Below are 13,408 nucleotides of genomic sequence, written 5' to 3'. Positions count from 1 at the left end.
CGAGTGTTAAAGACTGAATATTTTTTCTTTAAAAGAGTCTATCACACCGTCTTAAGGGAATTCCTGCTCTAAGCTTCCCATCCTATCCGTTTCTTCTCACTGGAAAACTTCATCTAAGGCTCAGTATCTGATTTTGCGCTTAGATCATTTCTCTGTGGCAGTCATACGAGGCTGAGAGGAGACAGGGAAACTGAGACCCTGACCCACGGGTCAGTGACACCACAGAGTTATAGCAAAGCACGCTTTCAAAGGACACTCACGCTATGTCCCGGTCACACAACACATTCACGCACCCTTCTCAGTCTCCACGTCACAAAGGAGACGTTCTCCACCTGTCTCCCTAGAGATGAGCCCCTTCCTTCGCAGCTCCAGCACCCCAAGGCCTGAGTAGGTGGGAGACAAGTCCGGCCCGCGCCCGAGGCCTCCGCGCTCTGAGTGCCTCCTGCAGCTCCACTCTCACCGCCACCCAGGGTCCCGCGCGGGCTGCGGGCTGGGGCTGCAGAAGCTCCGGCAGCGACCCGCGCCGCCTTCTTCCTCAGGTGGGACCAGGTCACGGGCAGCGCAGAGGTCCAGGAGACGGAGCCAGAGGTACAAGATTTCTCCGTCGCCCGTGGAATATGTAGTCCAAGACGGAACAGTCAGGACCGCAGGCAACCCTGAGAAGTGGAGTCCAGAGTCCTAAAAACCTACAGGAAATACGGATGTGACCACGAGGACCGCGCGCCCCGCCCACCGCGCGAGCCTGGGACACCTCTGGGAGTGGCCACCTGGCCTAGGAGTACGCAAGCGCAGATCAGACAAATGCTGGGGCCCCCGACCTGAGGCTAAGGGTGGAGTCGCTGCGTTCTCAGCGCCAGTAGGAGGCGAGTCTGGGTGGAACCTGACTCGGGTAAAAGAAAAGGGTTAGGTAAATGGACTCAGGTCCTATAGGAGTGACTTAAGTCCCACCACATTCTTCAATACATTATGTTCTTCACCTTTGGACACGAATACATATGATTAAAAATTTTATTTAAAAACATCCAAAGAAATAAATACTTTCATTATTTTTGTTTTGGAATAGGCTTGTTTGCTTGTTTGTTTGTTTTAGGGACGGAGTCTCACTCTGTTCCACAGGCTGGAGTGCAATGGCGCGATCTCGGCTCACTGCAACCTCTGCCTCCCGAGTTCAAGTGATTCTCGTGCTTCAGCCTTCCAAGTAGCCGGGATTACAGGCATCCGCCACCACACCTGGCTAATTTTTGTATTTTTAGTAGAGATGGGGTTTCACCATGTTGGCCAGGCTGGTCTCGAACTCCTGACCTCAGGTGATCCGCCCACCTCGGCCTCCGAAAGTGCTGGGATTACAGGCGTGAGCCACCGTGCCCGGCTGGCCTGGAATAGGATTTTTTTTTTTTTTATGGAGTCTCGCTTTGTTGCCCAGGCTGGAGTGCAGTGGCGCGATCTCAGCTCACTGCAACCTCTGCCTCCCGGGTTCTGCCTCCCGGGTTCACGCCATTCTTCTGCCTCAGCCTCCCGAGTAGCTGGGATTACAGGCGCCCGCCACCACGCCTGGCTAATTTTTTTTTTTTTTCTGGTATTTTTAGTAGAGACAGGGTTTCATCATGTTAGGCAGGATGGTCTCGATCTCCTGACCTCATGATCCGCCCACCTCGGCCTCCCAAAGTGCTAGGATTACAGGCGTGAGCCACCGCACCCGGCCATCTTCTTCTTCTTCTTCTTCTTTTTTTTTTTTTTTTTTTTTTTTGACACGGAGTCTCCCTCTGTCGCCAGGCTAGGGTGCAGTGGCGTGATCTCGGCTCACTGCAACCTGCGACTCCCTGGTTCAAGCCATTCTCCAGCCTCAGCCTCCCGAGTAGCTGGGACTACAGGCGCGCGCCACCACGCCCAGCTAATTTTTGTATTTTTAGTAGAGACGGGGTTTCACCATGTTGACCACGATAGTCTTGATCTCTTGACCTCATCATCCCCCGGCCTCAGCCTCCCAAAATGCAGGTATTGTAGGCGTGAGCCACAGCCCCCGGCCTGGAATAGGCTTCCTAAACGTAACAAAGGGAAAAAATATTTTTTAAAATTTAGAACCTTGATATGGTAATTATTTATCTTGGTAGATATCTATAAACATTCCATATATCTGAATGGTAAAAAAAAAAAACAGTTTAAACAAAACAAAACGAAAAAAACCTTTTTACTTCCCAGGCTGAAGTGCAGTGGTGCGATCTCAGCTCATGCAACCTCCGCCTCCTGGGCTCAAGGGATTCTCCTGCCTCAGCCTCCCGAGTAGCTGGGACTACAGGCATGCGCCACCGTGCCCGGCTTTTTTTTTTTTTTTTTTTTTTTTGAGACAGAGTTGCGCTCTTGCTTCCCAGGCTGGAGTGCAATGGCGCAATCTCAGTTTACCGCAACCTCTGCCTCCGGGGTTCAAGCTATTCTCCTGCCTCTGCCTCCCAAGTAGCTGGGATTACAGGCATGCGCCACCACGCCTGGATAATTTTTTTTTTTTTTTTTTTTTTTTTTTTGAGACCGAGTCTCGCTCTGTAGCCCAGGCTGGAGTGCAGTGGCGCAATCTCCGCTAACTGCAAGCTCCGCCTCCCAGGTTCAGGCCATTCTCTTGCCTCAGCCTCCCGAGTAGCTGGAACTACAGGCGCCCGCCATCATGCCCAGCTAATTTTTTGTATTTTTAGTAGAGACGGGGTTTCACTGTGTTAACCAGGATGGTCTTGATCTCCTCACCTCGTGATCCGCCCGCCTCGGCCTCCCAAAGTGCTGGGATCACAGGCGTGAGCCACCGCGCCCGGCCAAAAATTTTGTATTTTTAGCAGAGACCAGGTTGCTCCATGTTGGTCAGGCTGGTCTCTAACTCCCGACCTCAGGTGATCTGCCTGCCTCGGCCTCCCAAATTGCTGGGATTACAGGTATGAGCCACTGTGCCTGGCAGCCCGGCTAATTTTTGTATGTTTAGTAGGTACAGAGTTTTTCCATGTTGCCCAGGCTGGTCTTGAACTGCTGACCTCAAGTGATCCTCCTGCCTCAGCCTCCTAAAGTGCTGGGATTACAGGCATGAGCCACTGCGCCAGCTAAAAAACCCGAAAACTTTAGATAAGTGAGTTTGGAAGAAATATTTATAACAGATAAAATGGACAAATAGATAATAATTCTATTTACTGTCTCTCTGGCTTAATAAAATTATTAGTCAATACCCTAAGAAGAAAGAAACAAAATCTAAACTTCGCCATTCACAAATACAAATAGTCAACAAATAAAGTCAAAACCTAAGAACTTGTTGTTGACCACTTATTTCTTCTCTGAAATTGGCTCTTGAATTTGTTGAACATGCATTGACATGGGATTAGGACATTTTAAAAATATTTTTTAAAGTTTTGCTTTTCGGAATTTAAAATTAATCCAAATTATTTAATATTCAACATTTGGAATTTATCAATCAATATTCTATCATTTTATTTTTCACTCTTCAAATAATTCCTTGTTCAAGAGTTTAAAACGTTTTTTAAATTAATAGATTCTGCAGGCTGGGCAACATAGGGAGACCCTGTCTCTACAAAAAATTTAAAACAATTATTTTTAAAATATATAGAAAATATATATTTCTTTATATATTGTTAAGTATATAAAACATATTTTAAATTTTTATTTTTTTTTGCCGGATAGTATGGTAAGCTTATGTTTAGTCTGGCAGGAACTTGCAAAACTGCCTTCCACAGTGGCTGTACCATTTTGCATTCCCAGCAGCAATAGATGAGAATTCCTGTCGCTCCGTATGTTCACCAGCATTTGGTGTTGTTGGTGTTTGGATTCAAGCCAGTCTAATAGATGTGTAATGGTATCTCATCATAAATTTAATTTGAATTCCCTAGTGACATATGGTGTTGAGCATCTTTTCAGATGCCTACGAAATGTGCCGTGCATGGTGGCACACGCTGGTGGTCCCAGCTACTCAGGAGGCTGAGGTGGGGAGGATTGCTTGAGCCCTGGAGGTTGGGGCTGCAGTGAGCCGTGATTGTACCACTGCACTCCAGCCTGAGTGACAGAGCGAGACCTTGTCTGCAAAAGATAGATAAATAATTGACTTAATTTTTAGAACAGTTGTAGGTGTACAGAAAACAGAGCAGAGGGCATATTGAGCTCTAATATCCCCCTCACACCATAGTACACACACTTCCTCTATTATCATCTTGTTAGTATGGTACATTTGTTATCCTTGATGAGCCAATATGGATATTATTAAGTTCACGGCTTATATTAAGATTCACTCTTTGTGTTGTACCATTTATGGGCTTTGACAAATGCATAAGGACATATGTCCACCATCATAGGGTCACACAGAAAAGTTTCAGAACCCTAAAAATCTTCTGTGCTCCACCTATTCATCCTTCCCTCTGCTCAAGCCTCTGGCAACCACTGAACTTTTTATACCATCTGCCTAGTTTTGCCTTTTCTAGTATTCCATATAATTGGAACTCTACACTATGTGGCCCTTTTGCATTGGCTTCATTTAGAAATACGTGTTTAAGATTCCTCCATGTCTTTCCATGCCTTGGTAGTTCATTTTTTTTTATTCCTGAATAATATTCCATTGTATGATTGTTTCAGAGTTAGTTTATGCATTTCCCTATTGTAGGATATCTTGGTTACTTCCAATCTTTGTTGGTTATGTATAAGCTGCTGTAAACATTCATGTGGAGGATTTGAGTAGATATGTTTTCAAGTCATTTGGGCATATACCAAAGAATGCAATTGCCAGATCATATGGTAAGCATATGTTTAGTTTTGCAGGAATTTGCAAAACTGCCTTCCACAGTGGCTGTACCATTTTGCATTCCCAGCAGCAATCAATGAGAGTTCCTGTTGCTCCATATCCTCACCAGCATTTGGTGGTGTTAGCGTTTGGATTTGAGCCAGTCTAATACATGTGTAGTGGTATCTCATCGTTGTTTTAATTTGAATTCCCTAGTGACATATGGTGTTGAGCATCTTTTCAGATGCCTATTTTTGCTACCTATATAGCAAAGGGCAGACACAGATGATGGACTGCAGGAAAAGAGCTTGCTGTGATGATAGGAAGCTGCAGGCAGAGATGATCTTAGGGTTAATTGGGCATCAACTGTGCCTTCTCCTGTCACATAAAATGTGGTCTACCTGAGTTTTGACTGGAAACACAGAATAATACCTGGTTATCCATAAATATTTCTGACTGAGGCTTCAGGTTTATGTATGTTTTAACTGAAAGGTGATATAAACCCAAAATATAAACGGGTTGGGGTACAACAGGCAATGACTGTCAGATATGTTGAGAGTCTACACTGAATCGATGGTATCATTGGCTGCCCATGTCTTTCTCATTATGGACTTTCACTTTTCATTTGCCACATGAAAGACCACTGAGATAGGCTACATCTGATTTTTCTCCTGAGGGTCTCTATTACTGAGAAATTTCTGTATTCTGGGCTACGCTGGGTTCATAATCTGACTATCTATATCATGTGTGTTTGTTCCTTCCCTAAAATGCTCAGTTCAGCTGCAGTTCTAGAGGTAGATACTACTATGTTTGTATTTCAGAGAGTTGAAGATCTGAGGTCTGGAGAGGTTAGTGTGTAGAAAGTTATGTTGAATAAGTGGCAAGGCCATGTGGCCAGGTCAGATAAGCTGCCTTCAGATTTTACTCTTGAACTTCTACTGGATAATGTCTTTTCATTATAGAAAAGAGGAGAGTGAACTTTGGTGTTTTGTTCAAAATCAATGACTGTAGGAGTTCTTTCAAGATATGATGAAAAGCAATAATTGTCTCATTTTACATTACCTATAATTATTGCTCACCAGAAATTGATTATCGATGCAGCAACCTTTTACATTCCTCTCTGCTTTATTATGCATGGCCGGGCTTTACTGTAACTAAGAGGGTCCAAGATTCAGAAATATCTTTAACTTGCAATGCTTGGTCACAGGTATCCAACTGAAAAATATTTTGCTCATTAGCCATAGGGACACATATGGCAAACTACAGCCAGAGACACAAAATATGGAAAGAAGAAAGGGCTATAAGAGTCCTGTGGCTCCTTAAATTTTGTATTTCTATTCATATGCATCTAGAATCATAAGGAAGTTGAGCAAATGGGAAATGCAAAGTCCTAATCAAAGCATACCCACATTTCAGTTATCTGCATTATTGCACATTTAAATTTATAATGCATACATAGGATTCAATTCAATAGGTATAAAAATGTTAAGTAACCTTTTCTCTCATGCACCCCCGTCATTCAGTAGCTCTTTAGAGTCAACATTTTAATTTTGTTGTGCATCTTTTCATAATTTTGTTTTCTTTTTCTTTTTTCTTTTTTCGAGACGGAGTCTTGCCCTGTTGCCCAGGCTGGGGTGCAATGACGCAATCTCGGCTCACTGCAACCACTGCTTCCTGGGTTCAAGCAGTTCTCCTGCCTCAGCCTCCCAAATAGCTGGTATTACAGATGTGCGCCACCATCCCTGGCTAATTTTTTGTATCTTCAGTAAAGATGAGGTTTCACCATGTTGGCCAGGCTGGTCTCGAACACCTGACCTCGTGATCCGCCTGCCTCGGCCTCTTGAAGTGCTGGGATTATAGGCATGAGCCATCACGCCTGGCCTCTTTTTCTTTTTTGATAGCGATGGGGTCTCACTATGTTGCCCAGGCTGTTCCTGAACTCCTGGGCTCAAGCAATCCTCATGCCTCAGCCTCCCAAAGTGCTGGGATTACAGGCATGGGCCACCACACCCAGCCAAAACTTTTTCTTTTTTTAAATGTATTTTATTCTATATATTTAAGGTACACAACATGATGTTATAGGATACATATACATAGTATAAAGGGGTTACTATAGTGAAGCAAATTAACATCTCTATCATCTCACAGATACCCACATTGTTTGCGTGTGGCAAGGGAAGCTAAAATCTACTCATTTAGCATGAATCCCAGCCTTATTATGTATTTTTTATATGCCTAAAGTATAGTCTGATTTTGCCTGGTTTCTCTCTTACATAATTGGAGTAATAGTCTGTATCCTGCTGCATCTGGCTTCTATTACTCAATATTAAGTATTTAATATTCACATTTAGCATCGATTCTGCATTCCATTAAAACAGTACACCAGCTAGGTGTGGTGGCTCATGCCTGTAATCCCAGCACTTTGGGAGGCTGAGGCAGGCGGATCATGAGGTCAGGAGATCAAGACCATCCTGGCTAACACAGTGAAACCCTGTCTCTATTAAAAATACAAAAAATTAGCCAGGTGTGGTGGCACGCACCTATAGTCCCAGGTACTCGGGAGGCTGAGGCAGGAGAATCGCTTGAACCCGGGAGGCAGAGGTTGCAGCGAGCCAAGATCACACCATTGCACTCCAGCCTGGGCGACACAGTGAGACTCCGTCTCAAAGCAAACAAAGAAACAAAAAACCAAAAGTTAGCCGAAAGTAGTGGTGCACACCGGTAATCCCAGCTACTCGGCAGGCTGAGGCAGGAGAATCACTTGAACCTGGGACGTGGAGGTTGCAGTGAGCCCAGATCGTGCCACTGCACTCCAGCCTGGGCAACAGAGTGAGACTGTGTCTCAAAAAACAAACAAACAAACAAAAAACAGTACACCAGTGTGTATCCCTTCATGGTTGGTGGACATGTGGGTTGTGTTCATTTTTTCAGTTACAAATGATGCCGTTGTGAACATTTTTGTATTTCTATTTGGTTACCATTAGTGTGTATTTATGTACAGTATAAAGCAAGAGGTAAAACCATAGGTTACATGGTAAACATATCTTCAGTTTTACTAGGTATTATTGGCTTCATCCCAATGTTAACACACCAACTGACAGTCTTACAATGTCTGATAATTCCCAAATCTTTGCATTCTTGCTGACACTTAATTTTGTCAAAATTTTAATTTGAGTTTTTTGGTGGTTATGTGTCAATGACTGTAGTATTAATTTACTGGACCTTTTCTTCTCTGTAACAGGCCCTGTCAAGATATATGTGTGGTACGGCAGGGGTAGGATGGCAGCGGTAGGAGCCCCTAGAGGTAGAAGGGGCTCTGGAATCCTTCATCGTCCTATGTGAAAAAGTTTGTGGCAGTGATTTTTTTTTTTTTTTTGAGACAGAGTTTCGCTCTTGTTGCCCAGGCTGGAGTGCAATGGCGCCATCTCAGCTCACTGCAACCTCTGCCTCCCAGGTTCAAGCGATTCTCCTGCCTCAGCCTCCCGAGTAGCTGGAGTTACAGGCGTGCGCCAACACACCCGGCTATTTTTTTGTATTTAGTAGAGATGGGGTTTCACCATGTTAGTCAGGCTGGTCTTAAACTCCTGACCTCAGGTGATCCACCTGCCTCAGCCTCCCAAAGTGCTGGGATTACAGGCGTGCGCCACGGTGCCCTGATATTTCCTGTGTACAGTGGTGTAGCCAGGGTGCAAAGCCGCTTCCTAATGATTCTGTGATCTAAATATTATATCTTCTTGCTTCCCTTTAAGATATGTTCATTCCTCCATACAATTAAACAATCTCAATTACTCTTGAGGGAGCATAAAATCCTCATTGTCTAATCATGGGTCCTTCCAAATTATTTGTTGGCTTGTGTTTAAAATATGAAAAAGATAATGTCGATTTTGTTTTATTCTTACTGCTTAACCTGAACAAAATGTCATAGATACCTCCTGGCCTGTTGCTCAGCCAAGGAGAGTCACTTGAATAATGAACAAGACTGGAGGGAAACCACATTGATAATTTATCATTACACCGTCATCACATACATGGAACTCATCAATGATGCTTACAAAAAAATTGGGTCATTTGTGGAAAAGTGTAAAGAGAATATAGGAGATGTCTCAACTGAAGACAAAAAGCTACAGAAAATAATTGCAAAAAAAAAAAAGTGTTAAGATGTGAACACAAATTCAGAGATTCAGAAGCACAAAGTGCTAAGTTAAGGGAAAAAAAGAGTTATCAATACTTTCTTCCTTATGGAGAACAGGATGAATTCTTAAAAGGGCAAGTAATTGTGAGTCTGATATATCTGAAGATAATTAGTATTTCTAATGTTGTAAATGGTTGTGAATTTATAGTCACTATTCCTATTTCCTTTAGACTAGTGACCGTGACTTTGATCAACAGAAACACACCGGGTTAGTACTGTTATCTATGTCTCTCATCATACTATGTGTTAAAATAAGTCGATCAATTTTTGTCTTGTATTTGTTTTCATTTCACTTTATTTTAGTTTCTCTGGAACAGGGTCTCACTCTGTCGCCCAGGCTAGAAGTGCAGTGACACGATCACAGCTCACTGCAGCCTCGACTTCTCCAGGCTCAGGTGATCCTCCTGCCTCAGCCTCCCAAGTAGTGGGGACTACAGGCATGAGCCACCCCGCCTGGCTAATTTTTGTATTTTTTTGTAGAGACAGCGTTTTGATGTGTTGCTCAGGCTGGGCTCAAACTCCTGGACTCAAGCGATCTCTGTCTTGGCCTCACAAAGTACTGGGATGACAGGCATGCACCATGGCCCGAGGTCTGTTTTAATTTTATTAATTGGCTGATTCATTCAGACACATAATTATCAAGTAAAATCTCACTATTTCCTTAGCATTTCCCTTCAATTTAGCTTAGAAAATCTATTCCTAAGTTAATTTTTTAAAACATATACAATTAGCCAGGTGTGGTGGCACATGCCTGTAATCCCAGCTACTTGGGAGGCTGAGGCAGGAGAAGCACTTGAACCCGGGAGGCAGGAGAAGCACTTGAACCCGGGAGACAGAGATTGCAGTGAGCCGAGATCGCGCCACTGCACTCCAGCCTGGGCAACAGAGCGAGACTCCATCTCAAAAAAAAAAAAAAAGGTTTTCTCCAGATCATTTTTACATTTAATTATTCAGTCTGTTTTGACTATACCTTTAAGAATTAAGTAAATATAACTTTACTTCTACACACTATTAGTCAATGTACCTAACACAATTTATTGAATAAACCAGTCCATTCACAACAACATCAAAAGTACGTACATTTCCCAATGTAAATTAATACAGCCATGATGGAAAATAATATGGAGATTCATCAGAAACTAAAAATAGAATTACTATATGTTCCAGCAACCCCACCGGTGGGTGTATAGCTAAAGGAATTGAAATCAGCATGCTGAAGAGATAACTGCACTACCATTCACTGCAGCATTATTCTGCATTGGATACGGAAGCAACCTAGGTGTCCAGCATGTTATAAGTGGATAAAGAAAATGTTACATATTATATATATTATGTATATAACCTTATACACATATATATATGTATATATAAAGGAATACTATTCACTTTTTAAGAAGAGGAAAATCGGCCGGGCACAGTGGCTCGCGCCTGTAAATGCAGCATTTTGTGAGGCCAAGGTGGGTGGATCACCTGAGGTCAGGAGTTCGAGACCAGCCAGATCAACATGGTGAAACCCTGTCACTGCTAAAAATACAAAAATTAGCCGACGTGGTGGCGCATGCCTATAATCCCAGCTACTTGGGAGGCTGAGACACAAGAATCGCTTGAACAGGGGAGGCAGAGGTTGCAGTGAGCTGAGACTGTGCCACTGCACTCCAGCCTGGGTGACAAGAGCGAAACTCCGTTTCAAAAAATAATAATAAGTAAATAGATTTTTAAAAAATAAATAAAAAATAAAAATAAAACAAGGAAAATTCTGTCATCTGTGACAACATGGATAAACCAGGAGGACATTATGCTAAGTGAGAGAAGCCAGTAACAGAAAGATAAATACCAAATACCACATAAGTGGTATTTGTGGAATCTAAAAAAGTCTAACTCTTAAGAGGCAAAGAATGGTGTTTACCAGAGACTGAAAAATGGGGAAAAGGGAGATGTTAATTAAAACAGTACAAAATTTCAGTTAGTCAGGAGAAATAAACTTTGTTAATCGATTGCATAGAATAGCAACTACATAAATAATGTGTTGCATGTTTCAAAATTGCTAAAAGTAGATTTTAAATGTTTTCACCACAAAAAAGTGAGGTGATGGATTTAATTAGCTTGATTTAATCATTTCGCATTGTAAACATAGATCAAAACAGCATATTGTACCCTATCAGTATATAAAACATACAATTATTATTTGTCCATTTTTAAAAAGTTACTTTTCTCATACCTTATAACAAGACTGGACTTCCTCAGGGGACACAGAGCAGAGTCCCCGCCCTCGGGAGCTCATAACCGATCCCCCACGCTCGCCCTCGCGGCCACACTTTGAAAGCCCTCCCCTACCGGCTCTACACTCAAACAGCCCGAGGCTTCGGGCAGCCTCGAGTTCGGATTCCACTTCTCAGCCTTCTGGGGTCACTGAAACCCTCAGAACTCCGAGGACAAGTCGGACACGCCTTCGCCTCAGCCATCTTCGCCAGCGCAATAAGTCTCTGTGTCTTCACACTCCTGGTAGAGGGAAAACTAAAACCTCCGGGAGCCAGCGTCCGGCGGTGCCTGCAATCTAACCGGGATTTGGGGTTCCGAGCCACTTTTCCCACAAGCCACCGCGGTCATGGAGCTTTAGGCTTAAACTACATTTCCCAGAGGGCAACGGGAACACCCAATCTATGGCTTCCCTTCCGTTTTCGCGTGGTTCTTTTGCAAGGTGGGTTGAACTCATTTCAGTATATAACAGGCACAGAGTACTCGCAGGGAGGGCTCTGGGCAATCAAGTTACGTTGGAGCCCAACCTAAACCAGCCGGGGTGGTGGAGGAAGCCCTTTAACCGTGGAAGCCTCTAGTGTGGACGGCCAGTTGTTATCGGAATCTCAGGCCCGTGGGTGCATGAACAGCAGAGGAGGGTATTTGAGTGCGCACGTGAGAGAATGTTGTATATGTCAGATGGGGAATGTTTGAGAGTGTGTGACAGAGAAACTGCGTGTGAGAGGCTGGGATGTGCCTCCTTGACGGTGGGTGCGGTTGTGAGGCTGTGACAGGTGAGTGAGTGGCTGTGCTTGCGTGACGGGGATATGAGGTGCTTGTCCTTTTCATGTACGTTGATTGCGGTGGCACTGCGGTGTCACTTTGAGTCTTGGCTGTAGGTTCCCGGCTGCTGCTTCTCTCCTCCCTCCTCACAGCTGCTTGCGGCTGACACACACAAAAAATGTCTGCAAGAGGGAAGTTGGATACTGAACTCTACATCAAGTTTTCCAGCAAGAAGGCATTGACTTGCTGTGAGATTGGAAACGCCTGGGAGGTTATTTCTTTGTGAGCTCTGAGAGCGAGCTACCTGTCTCAGAACCTCGTCTTTCCCAGAGCTCTGACCCCAGGAACCTGCTGTGAACTCATACCCAGATTCCAGCCTCTCTCCTACCTCCATGTGTTAAAGTGTGTGAACAGGGAAGGCGTGGAGGGTATTGTGTAAGGAGGCATTCCGTGCTTCAAGGAAAGGCCTGATAACTCATGATTTTTTTCTCCCTCCCTGGTCCTGCTATTCCTCAAAAGGACTCTAATGAGGAGGAAAAAAATTCTTTCACATCTAAAACTCAATGTTTAGGCTAGTTGGCTTTTTTCTTTCCTAAGGTTACTGGTTTTAGAGTATGTTTTACTTCATCTGAAATGTGTCTGAATGTCCTAATACCAATCTGCTTTCTTTCCAGTAGATGTTGGGAGCCATTGAGCTGAATCTCATTAACGTTCTCATATTTGGCCGGGTGTGGTGGCTCACGCCTGTAATCGCACCATTTTAGGAGGCCAAGGCGGACGGATCACTTGAGGTCAGGAGTTCGAGACCAGCCTGGCCAACATGACGAAACCCCATCACTACTAAAAATACAAAAATTAGTCTGGCGTGATGGTGCATGCTTGTAATCCCACCATCTTGGCCAGGCTGGTCTCGAACTCCTGACCTCATGATCCACCCGCCTCGGCCTCCCAAAGTGCTGGGATTACAGGCGTGAGCCACCGCACCCAGCCTTATGTGGATTATTTTACTTCATCTTCAGACTATTTTATATGCTAAATGACATTTTCTCCCAATTTACCAATGAGACTTTAAGACACATTTTATTAAGTATCAGAGCTTAAATCTGAAAGTCATATCCTAAAAGACTAACAACAGAATTTGTATTAGTTACTTCAAGAGACCACCTCTTAAATATTACTTTTTTTTTTTTTTTTTTTTTGAGACAGAGTCTCGCTCTGTCGCCCAGGCTGGAGTGCAGTGGTGCGATCTCGGCTCACTTGCAAGCTCTGCCTCCCGGGTTCAGGCCATTCTCCTGCCTCAGCCTCTCCGAGTAGCTGGGACTACAGGCGCCCGCCACCACGCCCGGCTAATTTTTTGTATTTTTATTAGAGACTGGGTTTCACCGTGGTCTCAGTCTCCTGACCTCGTGATCTGCCCGCCTCGGCCTCCCAAAGTGCTGGGA

General features: G+C 44.0%; 1 protein-coding gene across 5 annotated transcripts in view, besides 5 other annotated features; it reads left to right on the top strand.

Moving 5' to 3' along the window:
- Nucleotides 10,790–11,452: an enhancer, noted in NCBI's record as "H3K27ac hESC enhancer chr19:38270378-38271040 (GRCh37/hg19 assembly coordinates)". NCBI's record gives its function as "activates a minimal SCP1, AML or CMV promoter by ChIP-STARR-seq in naive H9 embryonic stem cells {active_cell/tissue: H9 hESC(naive)}" and the evidence as "EXISTENCE:reporter gene assay evidence [ECO:0000049][PMID:30033119]".
- Nucleotides 10,790–12,116: a biological region, named in NCBI's record as "H3K27ac hESC enhancers GRCh37_chr19:38269714-38270377 and GRCh37_chr19:38270378-38271040".
- Nucleotides 11,311–11,660: an enhancer, noted in NCBI's record as "active region_14556". NCBI's record gives its function as "activates an Ori minimal core promoter by ATAC-STARR-seq in GM12878 lymphoblastoid cells {active_cell/tissue: GM12878}" and the evidence as "EXISTENCE:reporter gene assay evidence [ECO:0000049][PMID:35858748]".
- Nucleotides 11,367–11,661: an enhancer, noted in NCBI's record as "tiled region #9873; HepG2 Activating DNase matched - State 1:Tss, and K562 Activating DNase unmatched - State 1:Tss". NCBI's record gives its function as "activates a minimal TATA promoter and a strong SV40 promoter by Sharpr-MPRA in HepG2 and K562 cells {active_cell/tissue: HepG2 | K562}" and the evidence as "EXISTENCE:reporter gene assay evidence [ECO:0000049][PMID:27701403]".
- Nucleotides 11,453–12,116: an enhancer, noted in NCBI's record as "H3K27ac hESC enhancer chr19:38269714-38270377 (GRCh37/hg19 assembly coordinates)". NCBI's record gives its function as "activates a minimal SCP1, AML or CMV promoter by ChIP-STARR-seq in naive H9 embryonic stem cells {active_cell/tissue: H9 hESC(naive)}" and the evidence as "EXISTENCE:reporter gene assay evidence [ECO:0000049][PMID:30033119]".
- Nucleotides 11,604–13,408, top strand: part of ZNF573 (zinc finger protein 573) — a 41,285-nt gene continuing 39,480 nt past the window's right edge. For all 5 annotated transcript variants that reach the window (NM_001172692.2, NM_001172691.2, NM_001172690.2 and 2 more), the window contains exon 1: nt 11,604–11,646. The gene's annotated coding sequence lies outside the window, so the exon portion shown is untranslated. The remainder of the gene's footprint in view (nt 11,647–13,408) is intronic.

This window comes from Homo sapiens, chromosome 19 (assembly GCF_000001405.40).
Source record: "Homo sapiens chromosome 19, GRCh38.p14 Primary Assembly".
Classification (NCBI taxonomy): domain Eukaryota; kingdom Metazoa; phylum Chordata; class Mammalia; order Primates; family Hominidae; genus Homo; species Homo sapiens.
The sequence above is the reverse complement of the archived record's forward strand: the minus strand, read 5'-3'. Positions and strand labels throughout refer to the sequence as shown.